The sequence below is a fragment of the Homo sapiens genome, chromosome 8 (assembly GCF_000001405.40).
Source record: "Homo sapiens chromosome 8, GRCh38.p14 Primary Assembly".
Lineage (NCBI taxonomy): Eukaryota > Metazoa > Chordata > Mammalia > Primates > Hominidae > Homo > Homo sapiens.
This window is the reverse complement of record NC_000008.11, coordinates 1,879,368-1,896,792: the sequence shown is the minus strand read 5'-3', so window position 1 is coordinate 1,896,792 and position 17,425 is coordinate 1,879,368. Positions and strand designations below refer to the sequence as shown.

Genomic DNA, 17,425 nt, shown 5'->3' with positions numbered 1-17,425 from the left:
CTGGAATTGAGATGTTTAGTTTATTTGATTCCTAATACCATACCGAAGGACAGTGAGGGAAAGGTAACTTTGGGATCTGATCTTGACTTCTTTTTTGGGGATCTGATTTTAACTTTCTTTCTGTCTGTCTGCTGATACACTTTTAAGAAGGTGCAAATAAAATTGTTTTCAAAAAGCTACATTAGGACCTAAAATTCATCTTCATTTCTAGCATTAATCCAATATCTAGGGCACTATTGATACTGAAATCTTAATAACGAATAACTGCATTCAGAGTCAAGCTTTGACATGTAACTTGTTATCAGATGGTGTTAAAACCCAAATGAAAAAAAAAAGCGCTTACCTTTAAAAATTCAAGAAAAGCGGGCTTTGTGGCACATGTTTTCTTGAGGACTGCCACGGCTGTGCTGAAATTGTTCACATATTCACTGTATGCATCCAGCACCATGGACTTAGAAAACTGAAACACAGGAGGAAATTCAGAGAGAAATCACAGAGTCCAGATATCCCTTTTCCAACATAAAACAGAAGATTTGAAACTCGCCCTCAAAATACTCTTTCGGTCACTGTGATGTTTTCATAAGATAAACTTTATTATGACTGTGTGATTTTTTTTCTTTAAGCAAGCGTGTTAGGAGTTAAGTTGCTGGTTTGACCTTATTTTTTGACTCCAGAGCACTTTCTGACATCCTTGTTCAAAACCATGGTAATTTGGGTTTCAGTTAAGAATGTTCATGACTACAGACAAATAAGGATGGTGATTTTAAGTTCCTGCCAAGTCTCACTTGGTGGGTTCAACCTCCAGGCAAGAAAGTCATGCAACTCATTCCATGGTGGGCCCAATATCCTGAGAAACAGGCCTCAACCACACCCTAGAAATGGGGGCTGGGGGCGGGGGCTGATCCTGCTTCTCTGGCGTAACATACAATGCCCTACACGTGTTCGTTTTCCTAAAAGCACAAAGGTTTCTGTTAAGAGGCAGAAACATTTGCCCTTGCTATCAATATTCAAAGAGAGAAAAATCACTCCATGTTATTCTAAGAAACCGTAAGTCCTTTAGGATGGATGGCAGAGCTCTGGTGTGACTGGCATTGATAGCAGGAATGTTTTCATCAAAATTCTATTTCTTTAAAAAATCTGTTTGCATTTTTAAAAATGTTGGGAAGGTAGGTATTTAAAGAACAGTGATAAGGTTGAACCTAATATATAAAACAGCCAGAAAAAAAATCCAATAACAAAATAAATATCCAATATTTCTCTTTTTTTAAGGATCCATAAACGGTATTATGCAAATATCTTTGAAAGAATTTTGTTTCCATATTTATTCAAAGCATTTATAGACCTCATCAAGTACATATACAAACTATATAGGAAAACATTTCACGTATTATTATTATAACATTCATTTAAGAAGAGGAACACTTTTTTCAAAACTTGCAAGCTTATATCCCTTTGATAGCATCATAGTCTCAAATAATTACAGAAACCAATCTGTTTCACTCATAATCCTCTACATCTAGGTAGAATCCAACCAATATACAATAAGTATGATTCATACACGGAGTGAGGATAAAATGACTCGAAACTGCCAGTGCAGAAACCACCAGTGGTTTCCAGGCAGCTAACCCTTTCTCCTGCCAGGAAGTGTTCAGGCAAGCTGTTGCAACATCATATTCCTGTGTCACAGCATAGGGCCGAAAGCCTGTATCTACACAACAGAAGCTACAGCCAAGGGCAAAAGTTTGAGAAAACATCTAGGAATTTTCCCATCACGTGTTTTCTATTTTTCCCAGGCACAGATAATTCTGCACCCAGAAAGTGACACCTAGATCAGGAAGAGAACCTGTGTGAGGGCTTAAAAACGGCAATTTTACAACATTGCCAAACACACGGCATCCTTGTTCAACAACAAAAAGCTTCAGCAAATCGTCTAATGGGGCATCCAAGACTCGATAAAGTGCATATTGTTAAATGTCCTCAGATACAGCTTCTGTCCAGTGTCTGCCTTTCTAACGCCTTGGCCTCCCTGGTAAAGATCCATTTATCATTTCCCTAGCGCACACGCTTGGCCAGGGCATTGCAACTTCAGCCTGGCCTTTAGAGAGAACTGCACACTTGTCAGCTTGCAGGAGATCAGGGGCAAAACATCAGCCTAAGAAGGGAAGAGAGGACAGGTGCATGGAGAGCCCCATGGACATCCAGGTGTCCCAGCTTAATTACCGAAGCCACGAAGACATCGCCTATCATTTCCACGGAGTCCCACTCGGAAACGCGGCTGGCCAGCGCGATCTGAAATAGCGAGTGGCACTGCAGGATCTCTTTGACTCGGTAGAACACCGTCTTCAGCTTCCTCTCACTCAGAACCTTTGGCTCCATCTCAGACAGCGGCTTCTCATATTGCTAAGACAAAATGAGCAAAGACAGTTCAGACTTTTCTTTTTCAGAGCCTGGGTCTTGTTTTGTTGTCCAGGGTGCAGCGCAGTGGTGCGATCATGGCTCACTGCAGCCTCAAACTCCTGGGCTCAAGCCATCCTCCCACCTCAGCCTCCCAAGTAACTGGGATTATAGGCATGTTCCATGGGGGCATGGCTGCTTCAGACATTTTTCTTTTTTTTTTTTTTGAGACAGTCTCAGTCTGTCACCCGTGCTAGAGTGCAATGGCATGATCTCAGCTCACTGCAACCTCTGCCTCCCGGGTTCAAGCAATTCTCCTGCCTCAGCCTCCCGAGTAGCTGGGACCATAGGCACATACCGCCACACCCGGCTAATATTTTGTATTTTAGTAGAGATGGAGAGTCACTGTGTTGCCCAGGCTGGTCTCGAACTCCTGAGCTCAGGCAATCCACCTGACTCAGCCTCCCAAAGTGCTAGGATTACAGGGGTGAGCCACCGAGCCTGGCCCAGACATTTTTAAAGCTTAGATAAATGAATGTAAATATTCACTTACATAAATTATATTTATTTCAACATAAATCATGACTTTTGATGTCAATATACAGACATAATACTTAGATCCTTTTGAGAATTTTGCAAATTTGCATGTTATGTTTCATAAACATATATGCTTTGCATTTATGGATCAAAATGTATATAGGTAAAAAAGAATAATAGAAATGTATGTATTATGTAACACGACACTTAAGTACCTCCAAAATCCTCTTAAGAGCATCTACGTAGTTCTTTTCACTGTCGACAACTGAACCCAGTATATATCTTCTTACAACCTGTTGGAAATTTGGAAGTACAATGATAGAAAACTGCTTTATAATACACACAGATACATTTTACTTCTATGCTGAGGCTTGCTGATAAGTAACTTTTCTATTTTTAGAAAACAGTGCACAAGGGTAGCCTAATTAAATAACATTACAGGTACAAAACATACTTCGCCCCATTAATACAATTATATAATGTCTTAAACCTCAAACTATGAACTATAACTACAGCTGGGACAAAAAAAATTACAGCACTGAAAAGAAATTCCTTCATTTATGCAACGATAATATACTGAATTAACAGATTGTATTTTATGTATCCAACATTCAGGTAGATGATACTTCCTATGAATTCAGGATAAAAAATAGTTCCAGTCTTGATCAATGAATGTTATTAGCAACACTTATCTAAAATATTTATTCCAAAGTTCTAAGAAAACAAAGTTTGTGGAATGTGGAGGAATCTTTTTTTTTTTTTTTTTTTTGCAAAGATCTTTCAACCATCCAAAGATCTACCTATGAGGCCAAGAATGTGGACAGTAAATTATTCATGTCACTTAGAGGTGCAAAAAAAAAATCTCTACAATCTGACATGTTTGCAATCAAAACCTGACGTTATTTTCCATCTTGCTTTTCATCACTGAAGCACATACAATAGACTTGTGGCTGTAAGATCCCGTGAAAGGCCTATGAGGACGCCCGGCATTTCCCTCATTCTAAACACAGTCCAGCTAGTGATCATTGTACTTCCAATTTGCCAATTCATGGAAAACAGAGCAAAACAGGGCAATAGAGTTTCTCCTAAACCAGCATGCGCACTCCCGCATATGAACACACGCCCGGGCACACCACACCACACACACTCCTGTACACACCCACCCCATATATGTGCAAGATAACACACACGTGCGCGCACGGAAGCACACCACACACACACATGCACACACACGGGTACTCCAGTGTAGCATCAGGCTACCTGCAGCCCTGGATTATGCTATTTGAAGGGACTGCGTTGCCACCTAGCGGGCAAAGAGCATTTTTCACAACGGAAATTTCTCTGGTTAAAAAGATTGCAGGGCAACCAAGATTTACAAAACCTGATTAACAATGGAGAGATTACTCCTTTTAGAGAAAGGATTATTCTATTCGCAAAAGACAAAAATCAACCCTTCTAAAATACCCAAAGAAGAAACTGATGTATTAAAAAAATACTAATGTATTTAAAAAATACAGGTATCGCTGGGATTAAACACACACACACACACACACACACACACACACACACACACACACACACACAGAGCCAGAAGCTGGGAAGCTGCAGCTGCTGCTACTGACTGATTCACAGGAAACGTCAGAGCACAGAGGCTTCCCTTTCAAACGAGAGCTTAGAACCCAAAGGCCAAGCAACCCCTCCCATCATCAAACCCAGGCCAGTCTTTCTTCTGAAATTCAGATTCCCAAACACTCTCCCAAGGCTCCTGAGTCACAGTTGTGGGGGTCAAACATAAAAATGTATTTGTGTATATATACATGTAATATATATAATATGTTATATATTATACTATATATATTATTGATATGTGTACCTATATTATGTATATGTATTATTTATATGTGTATATATATTATGTATGTATATTTTTTAAAGTCCTGAGATGATACTAATATAGTATCAGGTCAAAAGATCTGGAATAGGTATAATATTAAAATACAAAAACAAAACCAATATTCTGGGTTTCATGGCTACTGCACGTGATGTCAGTCTTTCTGGCAGCTCAATCTGACACGTCAAATTATATGCCCACTAAGGGGTGGGACAGGGAGCCTCCAGTGCTCAGGAAGAGTGTCACTCTCTTCCTGAGAAGCCTGACCTAAAGTCATAGAGGAGAAATCCATCCTGAATGCAGCCCCCACAGGGAGGGTCCCTGGCATGAAGGTCATGGGGCAACTGGACAAAGCCAGGGCTGGAGGACAATCAGAGAGGCTCCTAGGCCTGAGCTGGGAGAGCTGCGGATGGTGCCTGGGCCTGGCCCAGCCTGACCTTCCTCATGTCCTCACCGGGAATGGGGACGGGACAGGATCCTCTGTCCTCCAGCATCAAGGGTACTTTCCAAGTAAAGAACGACCCTTCTTTATTTCAAAAAGAACATTTGCCTTTTTCCACCCCCAAATTAGGCATGCAAAGAATGTTTAATATACAGCATTTTAGAGTTATGTTTCCCTTAATTCAATTCTAGAGGAGAACAAGAATTAAAGAGCATCAATACCCCCCATTTAACCACTCAAGAGAAAACTCTCATGGACAACACATTTGGCAGGAGGAAAACAAAATCGATGTGAATCATGACTACAATAAAGAAAGCTGCATGAAAGAATGCAGAAATCCTAAATACTGCTAAGTTTCTAATCGTAATCCCAGCTATCATCTCATTGAAAGTGACGGCACTGTGCTAACACAACACAGAGACCTTGCTATACAGGACTTCACTGAACCATTACGGTGGGATAAGCAAGATGGAAATAGACATTAAAATCCACCCTTCAAAGAAAAGGAAAACTGAACTTCAGAAATTAACTACTAGACAAAAGTAACTGAGATAATCAGAGCAAAAAACAGAATTTCATCCAGGTCTGTGAGACTAATTTGGGAAGCTTAAACCCTTTACAGAAACCATAAAACAATGAACAGTCACTGCCAATTCGCTGAGCAAATCCACCAAAATCAGTACCCAACAGACAGGCCCTTGGAAAAGTGCCATACAACAAAAAGGTCAAACCTCTTTCCTCTGATATGTGCACACACCCCTACCAATCACTACTCACTCTCTCTTCACAGAACCTCGACTCTTACCCAGTGACACCCCACGGACCCCGTGACCCACTCAGTGTCTCCTCACAGACCCCTCACACCCCACTTAGTGTCTCCTCACAACCCTCACTGCACTCAGTGTCTCTTCATAACCTTCGCCAAACTCAGTGTCTCCTCACAGACCCTTACACACTCAGTGACTCCTCAAAACTCTCACCCCACTCAGTGTCTCCTCAGAGACCCGTCTCGCCCCACTCAGAATCTCCTCACAACCCTCACCCCACTCAGTGTCTCCTCACAACACTCACCCCACTCACTGTCTCCTCACAACCTCAACCCATTCAGTGTCTTCTCACAACCCTCACCCAATTCAGTGTCTCCTCACAGACTCCTCACCCAACTCAGTGTATCCTCACAACTCTCACCCCACTCAGTATCTGCTCACAACCCTCACCCCATCAGTGTCTCCTCAGAACCCTCACCCCACTCAATGTCTCCTCACAATCCACAACCCTCAGTGCCTCCTCACAAACCCTCACCCCACTCAGTGTCTCTTCACAACCCTCACCCTATTCAGTGTCTCCTCACAAACCCTCACCCCACTCAGTGTCTCCTCACAAACCCTCACCCCACTCCGTTTTCTCACAACTCACACGGCACTCGGTGACTCCTCACAGACCCCTCACACCACACTCGGTGTCTCCGCACAGACTCCTTACCCCACTCAGTGTCTCAATACCCCTCACCGCACTCAGTGTCTCCTCACAGATTGCTCACATCACTCAGTGTCTCCTCACATACCCCTCCCCCACTCAGTGTCTCCTCACAACCCTCGCCCCACTCACTGCCTCCTAACAAAGTTCACCCCATGCAGTGTCTCCTCACAAACCCTCACCACACTCAGTGTCTCCTCACAAACCTCACCCCACCTAGTGTCTTCTCACAAACCCTCCTCCCATGAAGTGTCTGCTCACAACCCTCACCCCACTCAGTGTCTCCTCACAACCCTCATCCCACTCAATGTCTCCTCGCAACCCTCACTCCACTCAGGGTCTCCTCACAAACCTTCACCCCACTGTTTCCTCACGACCCTCACCCCACTCCGAGTTTTCTCACAACTCACACCACACTCCATGACTCCTCACAGACCCCTCACCCACACTCAGTGTCTCCTCACAAACCCCTCACCCCACTCAGTGTCTCCACACAGACTCCTTACCCTACTCAGTGTCTCCTCAATACCCCTCACCCCACTCAGTGTCTCCTCACAGACCCCTCACCCCACTCAGTGTCTCCTCACAGACCCCTCACCCCACTCAGTGTCTCCTCACAGACCCCTCACCCCACTCAGTGTCTCCTCACAGATGCCTCACATCACTGTCTCCTCACATACCCCTCACCCCACTCAGTGTCTCCTCACAACTCTTACCCACTCAGTGTCTCCTAAGAAAGCTCACCCCATGCAGTATCTCCTCACAAACCCTCACCACATTCAGTGTCTCCTCACACCTCTCATCCCACTCAATGTCTCCTCACAACCCTCACCCCATTCAGTGTCTCCTAATAAACCTCACCCCACGCTCTCCTCACAACCCCCCAACTCAGCGTCTCCTCACAACCCTCACCCCACTCACAGTGTCTCCTCACAGACCCCTCACACCCCACTCAGTGTCTCCTCACGGACCCCTCACCCCAATCACTGTCTCCTCATGACCCGCACCCCACTCCATGTTTCCTCACAACTCTCACTGCACTCCGTGACTCCTTGTAGACCCCTCACACCTCAGTGTCTCCTCGCAGACCCCTCACCCCACTCAGTGTCTCGTCACAGACCCCTCACCCCACTGTCTCCTCACAACCCTCACCCAACTCAGTGTCTCCTCATAACTCTCACCCCACTCAGTGTCTCCTCACAAACCTCACCCTATTCAGTGTCTCCTCATAACTCTCACCCCACTCAGTGTCTCCTCACAATACTCACCCCACTCAGTGTCTCCTCACAAACCTCACCCTATTCAGTGTCTCCTCACAAACCTCACCCTATTCAGTGTCTCCTCACAAACCTCACCCTATTCAGTGTCTCCTCACAAACCCTCACCCAACTCAGTGTTTCCTCAGGACCCTTACCACACTCTGTGTTTCCTCACAAACCTCACCACACTCAGTGACACCTCACAGACCCCTCACACCCCACTCAGTGTCTCCCCATACCTCACCCCACTCAGCGTCTCCTCACAGACCCCTCACCCCACTCAGTATCTCCACAGACTTCTTACCCCACTCAGTGTCTCCTCAATACCCCTCACCCCACTCAGTGCCTCCTCACAGCCCTCCACACTCAGTGTCTCCTCACAACTCTCACCCCACTGTCTCCTCAAAACTATCACCTCAGTATCTCCTCACAACCCTCACCCCACTCAGTGTCTCCTCACAGTCAACATCCCACTCAGCATATCCTCACAAACCCTCACCCCACCCCTCCTCAGAACCTACAGCCCCACTCAGCATCTCCTCGCAACCCTCACCACACTCACTGTCTCCTCGCAACCCTCGCCCCACTAAGTGTCTCCTCGCAAACCCTCACCCCACTCACTGTCTCCTCGCAACCCTCGCCCCACTAAGTGTCTCCTCGCAAACCCTCACCCCACTAAGTGTCTCCTCAAAACATTCACCCTACCTAGTGTCTCCTCATAAACCCTCATCCCACTCACTGTCTCCTAACAACCCTCACCCTACTCAGTGCCTCCTAACAAAGCTCACCCCACTCACTGTCTCTTCACAACTCTCACCCCACTCACAGTGTCTCATCACAGACCCCTCACCCCAATCACTGTCTCCTGATGACCCGCACCCCACTCCGTGTTTCCTTGCAACTCTCACGGCACTTGGTGACTCCCCACAGACCCCTCACATCCCACTCAGTGTCTCCTCAGAACTTTCACCTCTCCTCAGCATCTCCCCACAACCCTTACTCCACTCACTGTCTCATCACAACCCTCACCCCACTCCGTGTCTCCTCAAAACCCTCATCCCATCTAGCGTCTTCTCACAAACCCTCATCCCACTCACTGTCTCCTCACAGACCCCTCACATTGCACTCAGTGTCTCCTCACAGACTCTCAGCTCACTCACAGTCTCCTCACAACCCTCACCTGCTCAGGGACTTCTCACAGACCCCTCACCTCACTCAGTCTCCTCACAGACTCCTCACCCAACTCAGTGTTTCCTCACGTATCCCTCACCCCACTCAGGGTCTCCTCACAGACCCCTCACACCCCACTCAGTGTCTCCTCACAGACCCCTCACACCCCACTCAGTATCTCCTCACAGACCCCTCACACCCCACTCAGGGTCTGGCATCGCCTCTTTCACACTCACCCCCGCATCCTGCCCACTGGTCTTCAGCTCAGGCCGCTGTCTTGGCTTGGGCCATGTGTCCTCAAGGTCTCCTGACTCTTCTGGTCCTGAGTCACTCACACTCCTGTTATGATTCCTGTTTAGTCCCTCATCTGCTAGGAAGCATTTCCCCTGTGCTTTTCCCTTCTTTTGCTATTTTTGGTTTTCGGCTTCATCGCTACAGTAAGTTCTCAGAGTGCAGGATCCAAGTTCCTCTCACATGGTGTGTCCTCACCAGAATAGGTACCCCACATGCAGTGAGGGCCCCAGATAGTAGAGGACTGGCCAGCGTGTCATCCTATTGAGCGCCTCATAGGACTGGCAAGAAGGTGTTCAGCCATGAACCCCTTTTATAACTCCTGAGCATGAAGTGAGGTGGGTGAGCTGGACAGCATGCACAGGAGAAAGCGCTAGATCCTCTGTTCCTGGTAAAGGCTGTCAACCACCCCCCTGGACGTGTGGCAGCCCAGATCACATGGCCCCAGTGAGCACAGACAGGTTAGGAGCAGGCTGCGATGGGAGAGACTGAGATCAGACACGACCCCTTCCTCGCATAGCTGGAGGATGCAGTTCTGATGATCAGCCTCCTCCGAGTCCAGGCTTCCTTACAGAGTACACAAGGATGGCAACGGGATTTGCAAGGATGAAATGCAGTGAAACACACCAGGGACCGGGCACGGGGCCTGCACAGAGCATGCACACCCATGAGTGACAGCTCCTCAACAACTGTCTCCAAGCTCTGTTGACACTCCATCCCGTCACTCGTGTGATGCTGCTGACAAAACTAATACTTCAGTCATCGCTGTTCAATTCCACTGAAATGTAAGCTTCCTATTTCAGCCTGGTCAATTATGAACAGCTCGCAGGTATCCCTTTTCATCTCTTTTTAAACCTGGCCAGTCACTAAGCATTTCTGTGTTGTTTGTCTTTAATCTGACAATGCTCTCTCTTGCTCTATCTGCCTACCTGTATCAGGGATCTCCCCAGATCCGTGGATTACACATATGTCTGCCTATCCATCCTGGTGTCCATGATTTGCACCTCGCTGCCCATGTGGGAAACAACTCCCATCATCCCAAAGTATCAGCCCCTGCTGCTAAAGGCCTGCAAACTTGGTGCTGTCACTCTGGTTCCTCAAGTTTTCTCTTCCTTTTACCCTAAGACAATCCAATGAAAACCACTGATTTTTTCCCTTCTGCTACTGAGTATCAGATTTTTAAGAAATGCATTATATTCAGATTTAATTAGTTACTGAAAATCTGTCATTTTCATCTCAGTCTCAGGTAGCTACATACACATACTGACCATACAAACCCACACTCTGTCTCTGTGAAAGTAAAAACTGTGTGACTGACTCCCACGAAGAATGCAAGTTCCTCCCCTTTCTCACAGCTACACTCAGGGGCAGGGGTGCTGTCCAAAATATTTAAGGACCAGAAGGGCCTGAGTCCAGGCCACAGCTGCTGACCAGCGTCCCCCCAGACCCTTGCTGAGCCCAGCAGTAAGCCTCTAAGTGCTGGGCCAGGAACCTACAGTGGAGGGCCCGAGTGGATGCAGAGTTTGAGACAGCAAATATTTACCAACCAGCATCAAACACACAAATATTTAAAAACTAGCACAGCTCTGCTGGTCAACAGCCCCTGTCAGCTCTGCTCATCTCACCTGCTGCTGAGATAAACCCTCGGGCATCGGGGTCAAGATGGCTTCCGGGTGCTTGCAGTCAACATCAATGAACAAATTCTGTTCTTCCTCAAGAGAAGATCTGTGATCTTAAAAAAAAAGTCAAAATGCATGAATTTTACATTCAAATAATATATTCACAACACTACAGTACAGTAAAAAAAAGTCAAATAAATATTTTGTGTAGACCTTTCAATTTTCCATGCTTACTTGACACCCAGCTATTATTAAGTTGAATTTTTAACAAATCCAATAAAATATTCTTTCCAGAGGGTAATACAATATTTGTCTGTATTTAAAATTTTCAGTATTTAAAGTTTAACTTCAAAAAGGAGAAGTGCCATTTGAATAGCTAGATAGCAAAGTGGCAATATTTTGGAATCTTAGTGTTTTAGAATATTTCCTAAATTAAATATTTTAGTTTCTTAATCTATAAAATATCACAATCAGAAACAAGGAAACACAGCTAAGAATGGCTAAGAACAGTCATTGAAAACTGAGGTGAGTCAAAAGTCATTGAAAACTGAGGTGGCACTTAGTATATTTCTTCTGTCTCTCTCACTGGATGCCTTAAGAAGCACAGCTTTCCAAAACTCAAAACAGTTTAAACAAAAACTAAATTCACAGTTGGGTGGGGTGGCTCACTCCCCTAATCCCAGCACTTTGGGAGACCGAGATGGTAGAATCGCTTGAGCCTAGGAGCTCAAGACCAGCCTGGGCAACATAGCAAGACTCCATCTCTACAAAAAATTTAAAAATTAGCCAGGCATGGTTGTGAGCACCTGTACTCCCAGCTAGTGAGGAGGCTGAGGCAGGAGGATCGCCTGAACCCAGGAGGTGGAGGCTGCAGTGAGCTGTGGTCGTGCCACTGCACTCCAGCCTGGGCGACAGAGTGAGACCCTGTCTCTAAAAAACAAGAAAACGCCTACATTCATTTTTTTAAAACACAGCTAACTACATTAAAGCATCCACAAAATGGCTGGAAATCAGAAAAGCACAGGCACTTTTAGATGATAGAAACCTGAGTTTTTCTAGTTCAAAGATCCCAAACCCTGGCTGCACAGAAACATCTATCTAAGGGGCTTTAAAACCTACTGATGCCCAGACTTTTCCCTCAGAGATCAACGGATCAGCCAGGGAAGGAGGGCCTGGCACCAGCCTGTTTTAAAAGCTTTCTAGTTAATTCTTAGGTACAACCAGGACGAAGAACGAAATTCTGTCCAAGCCTCTCATTTTATGGCTTAGGAAACTCGGGTTGGGAGGTTAGGGATTTGCCCTTTTTTTTTTTTTTCTTGAGATGGACTCTTGCTCTGTCGCCCAGGCTGGAGTGCAGTGGCGCAATCTCGGCTCACTGCAAGCTCCGCCTCCCGGGTTCACGCCATTCTCCTGCCTCAGCCTCCTGAGTAGCTGGGACTACAGGCACCCGCCACCACGCCCAGCTAATTTTTTTTTGTATTTTTAGTAGAGACGGGGTTTCACCGTGTTAGCCAGGATGGTCTTGATCTCCTGACCTCGTGATCTGCCCGCCTCGGCCTCCAAAAATGCTGGGATTACAGGCATGAGCCACCGTGCCCGGCCAAGGATTTGCCTATTAAACTGCCGCATCTCTACAACTGACCCGCAAAAGAGTACCCCTAAACCAGAGACAAAGCATGACCTGCTCCCAGGGGCTGACTCCGGGCTTCTCAGACTGTCCCACACACCCAGTCCCGGGGGACTCTGCCAGCCTGCAAATCCTGGCTCAGGGGCCTGGCATGGGCTCCAGGTGGGCAGTTGTGATCAGCTCCTGGAATCTGGGCTCCAGTTGGGGGGTTGCTGCTGGTGGCAGACACACTCCTTGAGGCAGTGAATGTGGCCCCAAATCCCAACTCCTCACTGGACAGAGCTGCCTGTGCTTTCCAGGGGCTGTGTAATATGGCCACCTCCTCAAAGGCTGTCCTTTGCTGCCCTGAGCACCTCATGGCACCTCATCAGGGCATGATACTACTGCACATTTTATTAGAATGCACCTGCCCGTCTCCATCACCAAATAAACCCCTCGGGGATGCTGACAGCTTACCCCCACCTTGTCTGAGATGCCGAGGGCTTCATTAGGACTGAAAGAGGAAAAGGCCTCCTGAGTTACACCATGTCATACCAATTACACATCGTATCCGAGGCCGTTCCTTGAGGGACAACGTGACTGCAAAGTCCCTTCCAAGTACAGATATTAGCAAATGCTACCCACGTCCTAGCACCAGACAGGCACATTAGAAAGCTGGAGAAACAACCAGGAAATGCCAGGTCAGAGTCACAGCGACCCCTGTATGACAGTGAAGTCTCAGTCACCCTCCCGTAACTCGACCTTAGGACATCCGTGCACAAAGGCTCCGAGAAGTCTCCTCGGACGGTAAATGACCCCAGCCTGCTGCTTGTTGCCGCCGTGCACGACACCTCCACACCACCTGCCTTTTCCACACATAACTGCACAGACCACTGCGCCTTCGTTAGATGTTTAGAAAAACCTGGAACTTCAGCTGTCTACTCCAAATCTCCCCTCACCAAGGAAAAGATTCCTGAAATGCCAGTTCAGGACGCTCACGACCTCAGTCCCTGCGGGACCATGCCCAGGAGGGCCAATGTGCTATAAATACAGAGTCCAATACTAAGAATCCACAGTGACAGAGGCCCCTGCACAGCCCTTCCTATGTCCAGCCAGTGATTCTCAATGATTCTCAATGATTCTCTGCTGCTGGGTGCCCTCGGTCTAAAACGCCACCCCTGCAGGACGGGGAGGCTGGGGTCAGCAGGGCTGATTCAGACCCAAGCACTGAGCAGGCTGGTGCTCCCTAAGGCTGTGGGAGCCTGCGCGGCCGCCCCCCACCCCGAGTCCTCCCCACAAGATGTGGCCGCCCCCCCCAACCCCGTGTCCTCCCCGCAAGAAGACCTGCAGGCACGGACCCTGTGCGATGAGAGACTTGGTCCTGATGAAGGAGCGGCCCCTCTTCACGGCTGCCCTGGTCCTCTCCAGCCCGTCCTTGGTGCCGTCCTTCGCGGCCTTCACGAGCTTCTGCATCTGCGACGGAGAGGGAGATGTGAGAACGGGACGGCGGCAGAACCCACCTGCGACTTTCATTTGCCTGTTTTAAAAGAATACTGTCAAGTAGTCTGGTTCTTGTGAGCGCATGTGTCACGTGCAGTTCTGGGCTAGGTTTTGTTTTGGTTTTGTTTGTTGGAAAAAAGGAAAAAACAGACCTTAAAAATACAGCCCTTCCTGGACATGGTGAAACATGTTCCCTGCCCCATTTATGGTATTATATGTGATCCACTCACACAAAGAGCTACGTGGGGGTCACAGGTGAGTCACTAACATGCACAAATGTCAAACAACTCGCCTCGAATTAAATGGCAAAACAACTAACTGCAGACGCTCACAGCTCCAGTTCAGCCTTTTAACCTCCCCGGGGCTTCCCACTGCACCCCATGTGGGGGCATGGCCAGCTGTTGACAGGGCCGCCTCACACGCATGGTTACACGGACCCAGCTCCAGCCACGGGGCTGAATGCAAGACCCTGGCAAATGCTGCAGACACGCACGGGACACACCTGAGGGAGGGTCGGGGTGCAGCACGCTGCGGATGTCAGACTCGGAAGCCATGTCCCCCTGGCCTGGGGCTCCCTGCCTCCACTTCCTCGGCCAGAGCTGTGCTGGACACTCACGGCTGCCTAGACTCAGGGGCGTCTGAGGCGTCTCCTGCCATCTGATTTCTTATTCCTTAAAAACCCAACATCTGAGGTACTGGCCACTGGACGCTGAGTGATTTCGTCTTTAAAAGATGATCTCTTATGGGACAACCGATGTCCCCATCCCAGGGACCTCTCAAAGGGACCAGCAGTGCAGCTGAGAACCAGGCTCTCCTCATCTGGGTCACACCACCGCGTGAGGAGCAGGGCTGCTGGGCACCAGCGTGCAGACAGCGTCGCTGTAGCCCTGGCCGTGTCTGCCTGCCCTGGACTTCCAAACGCCTGAGGGCTGCCTTCCTGAAGCGTTCACCATGAACACCACACAACACGCACGGCCTCACACCCGCGTCGCCTGCCCCAGCCCATCTCCATCACTTGCAATGCTGTCCCCCATCCCCCGGGGGCTCCCCTGCTCCTGCATCTCCCAACCCCACATGGGACCATGTCCTGCTGCCATTTCCTTGGCCCCTGCACCCATGTCCCCTGCCTCCCGCCCGATGCCGCAGACAGCCCTGCCCGCCTGCGCGTTTCCGTCCTGCACAGCCTGTCTACATCCTGCTCTTTCTCAACCCCAGATTTGGGCTGTGAACCCTTGGTTTTCAGCCAGCGCCGTTCAGGGTCCCCGGACAGAGTATCAGAGAACTGCAAACTGACAAACTGGAGGGCCGCCATGCTCCCTGAGCCCCAGAGCAGGTGAGACCCCGGGTTCCAGGTCACAGCCTCGGCCAGGACTCCCGGATCTCAGGGCTGACACAGGGGTGTTCTCACCAGGGGAAGCGAGCGTGCTGGGCCCAGCCCTGGCTGCCTCCCCAGCCTTCCTTTCCCACTTCCCACAGTGCCCTCACCTGCTTCAGCCAGGGCACTCCCCGTGTCTGTGAAAACCTCCAAATGTAGCTCACACACCCCTCCCATGGTTCTGATGGCGCCCTCCACTCCTCAGAAACCCCGCCACACTGCCTGCAGCCTCCGGCAGGTCCCATCAGACACCCTGCAGGGGAGCCAGCCAGATGCTGCATGTGAGGGGGTAACGCGGCTCCCAGGGGGCGGCTGTGGCTGTGGCTTCTGATGGCCCAAGCACAACAGGGCGGATGAGCCGGCTGCTCCAGAAGCTGTGTGGAGTGCACATCCCTTTCCAGTGAGTGCCATTCAACACATATGAATGATCACAAAATACCAGCAGGATAAAAGGTCCAATTGCAGGAAACAGTACTTGACAGTGCCCTTTTAAAAGACATCGCTCAGAACAGACTGTCACGACACTCAGGTCCGGCAGTTCTCAAGCATTCCGGTCTCAGGGGCCCTGGACGCTCTTAAAAATTATGGAGAGCCCAAATGGCTTTTGTTTACCAGGGTTTTATGTATCAATATTTACTGCATTTGAAGTTAAAACGCTGAAAAATTTTGGATATTTTTATAAATGTTCATTTAAAAAATAATCAACCTATTACATGTTATCTTAAATAACATTGATGAAAAATTGCTGTATTTTCCAAAACAAACAGAAAGTGGCATTGTGCGTTTCTGGAAACCCCTCTCTAGTAGACAGCCAGATGGCATTCCGCCAGCGGTGAGGCCACAGCTGTGGAGCCTCCAGAATGTTCCTGGGTTCCCCGTAAGAGGGAGACAGTGAAAGGCACAGAGCGTCTCAGAGTCCACGTGAGCCCCAAAGCGTCGGGGGATTCCAGGAGCCCCGGACCACCCTTTGAGAACCGCTGTTGAGACAGCAAGGACCGACCGAGCCGCGCGGTTTTTCTTTACTGCCCGGCTGGCAAGTGGGGGCAGCGGCCGGGGGCAAGACTCTACCTTCAGTTCATGCTTCTGCCTGAGCTGCTGAATCTCCACCACGCCCACCGTGCTTGCCATCAAATCTCTCATCTTTTTCTCATAGTGCTCCTTTAAACGGGTTAGGTCATGAGAAAGCTACAGCATAAAGAGACACAGTCTTTTCACAAAAAGGCTCTTTTTGGTTCTTTGGGACAATTTTACATTGAGAGGATGCTGGCAGCGTCTGCAGTGGCACATCAGGCCTGTCCTGGCTGGGGGCTTCTGGGACCACACGCGAGAGTCCCCATTACTAGCCCAGTTGGTCCTTGAGAGATAAATGCACAAATAGTTGGCTGGGCGCAGTGGCTCACCCCTGTAATCCCAGCACTTTAGGAGGCGGAGGTGGGAGGATCAATTGAGCTCAGGAGTTCAAGACCAGCCTGGGCAACGTGGTGAAACCCTGTCTCTATTAAAATTACAAAAATTAGCCAGGTAGGGTGGTGCGCGCCTGTGATCCTAGCTACTTAGGAGGCTGAGGTGGGCGAATTGCTTGAGCCTGGGAAGTGGAGGCTGCAGTGAGCCGTGATGGTGCCACTGCCCTCCAGCCTGGCAGACAGAGTAAGACCCTGTCTCCAAAAAAAAAAAAGAGAGATAAATGCAGAAATGAGCTAAACATGGCATCAAAAGACAGACACTATCCAGACACCAGGCTAGGGTCTTCTCTGTGCTAGACAGGAGCAAATGCACGCACACAAAATATCTGTGAAATCATTCGTTTACATTTTGGTGGAATAAAAATTATCCAATAAATAAAAATACATAAAATCATTTTTTAT

General features: G+C 48.3%; 1 protein-coding gene across 22 annotated transcripts in view, besides 1 other annotated feature; it reads right to left on the bottom strand.

The window, feature by feature from the left end:
• ARHGEF10 (Rho guanine nucleotide exchange factor 10) overlaps window positions 1-17,425 on the bottom strand; it is a 135,313-nt gene that overhangs the window by 61,849 nt on the left and 56,039 nt on the right. For 11 of the 22 annotated variants that reach the window (XM_047422452.1, XM_047422450.1, XM_047422461.1 and 8 more), the window contains 6 exons: window positions 16,629-16,745; window positions 14,044-14,158; window positions 11,086-11,192; window positions 3,147-3,224; window positions 2,221-2,400; window positions 344-460 (listed from right to left, as the gene is read on the bottom strand). In XM_047422452.1, the coding sequence (XP_047278408.1) occupies window positions 344-460; window positions 2,221-2,400; window positions 3,147-3,224; window positions 11,086-11,192; window positions 14,044-14,158; window positions 16,629-16,745 (714 nt within the window). The remainder of the gene's footprint in view (window positions 1-343; window positions 461-2,220; window positions 2,401-3,146; window positions 3,225-11,085; window positions 11,193-14,043; window positions 14,159-16,628; window positions 16,746-17,425) is intronic. The other 11 variants (XM_047422454.1, NM_001438092.1, XM_047422456.1 and 8 more) reach the window with 1 other exon arrangement.
• Window positions 15,277-15,776: an enhancer, noted in NCBI's record as "H3K4me1 hESC enhancer chr8:1829183-1829682 (GRCh37/hg19 assembly coordinates)". NCBI's record gives its function as "activates a minimal SCP1, AML or CMV promoter by ChIP-STARR-seq in primed H9 embryonic stem cells {active_cell/tissue: H9 hESC(primed)}" and the evidence as "EXISTENCE:reporter gene assay evidence [ECO:0000049][PMID:30033119]".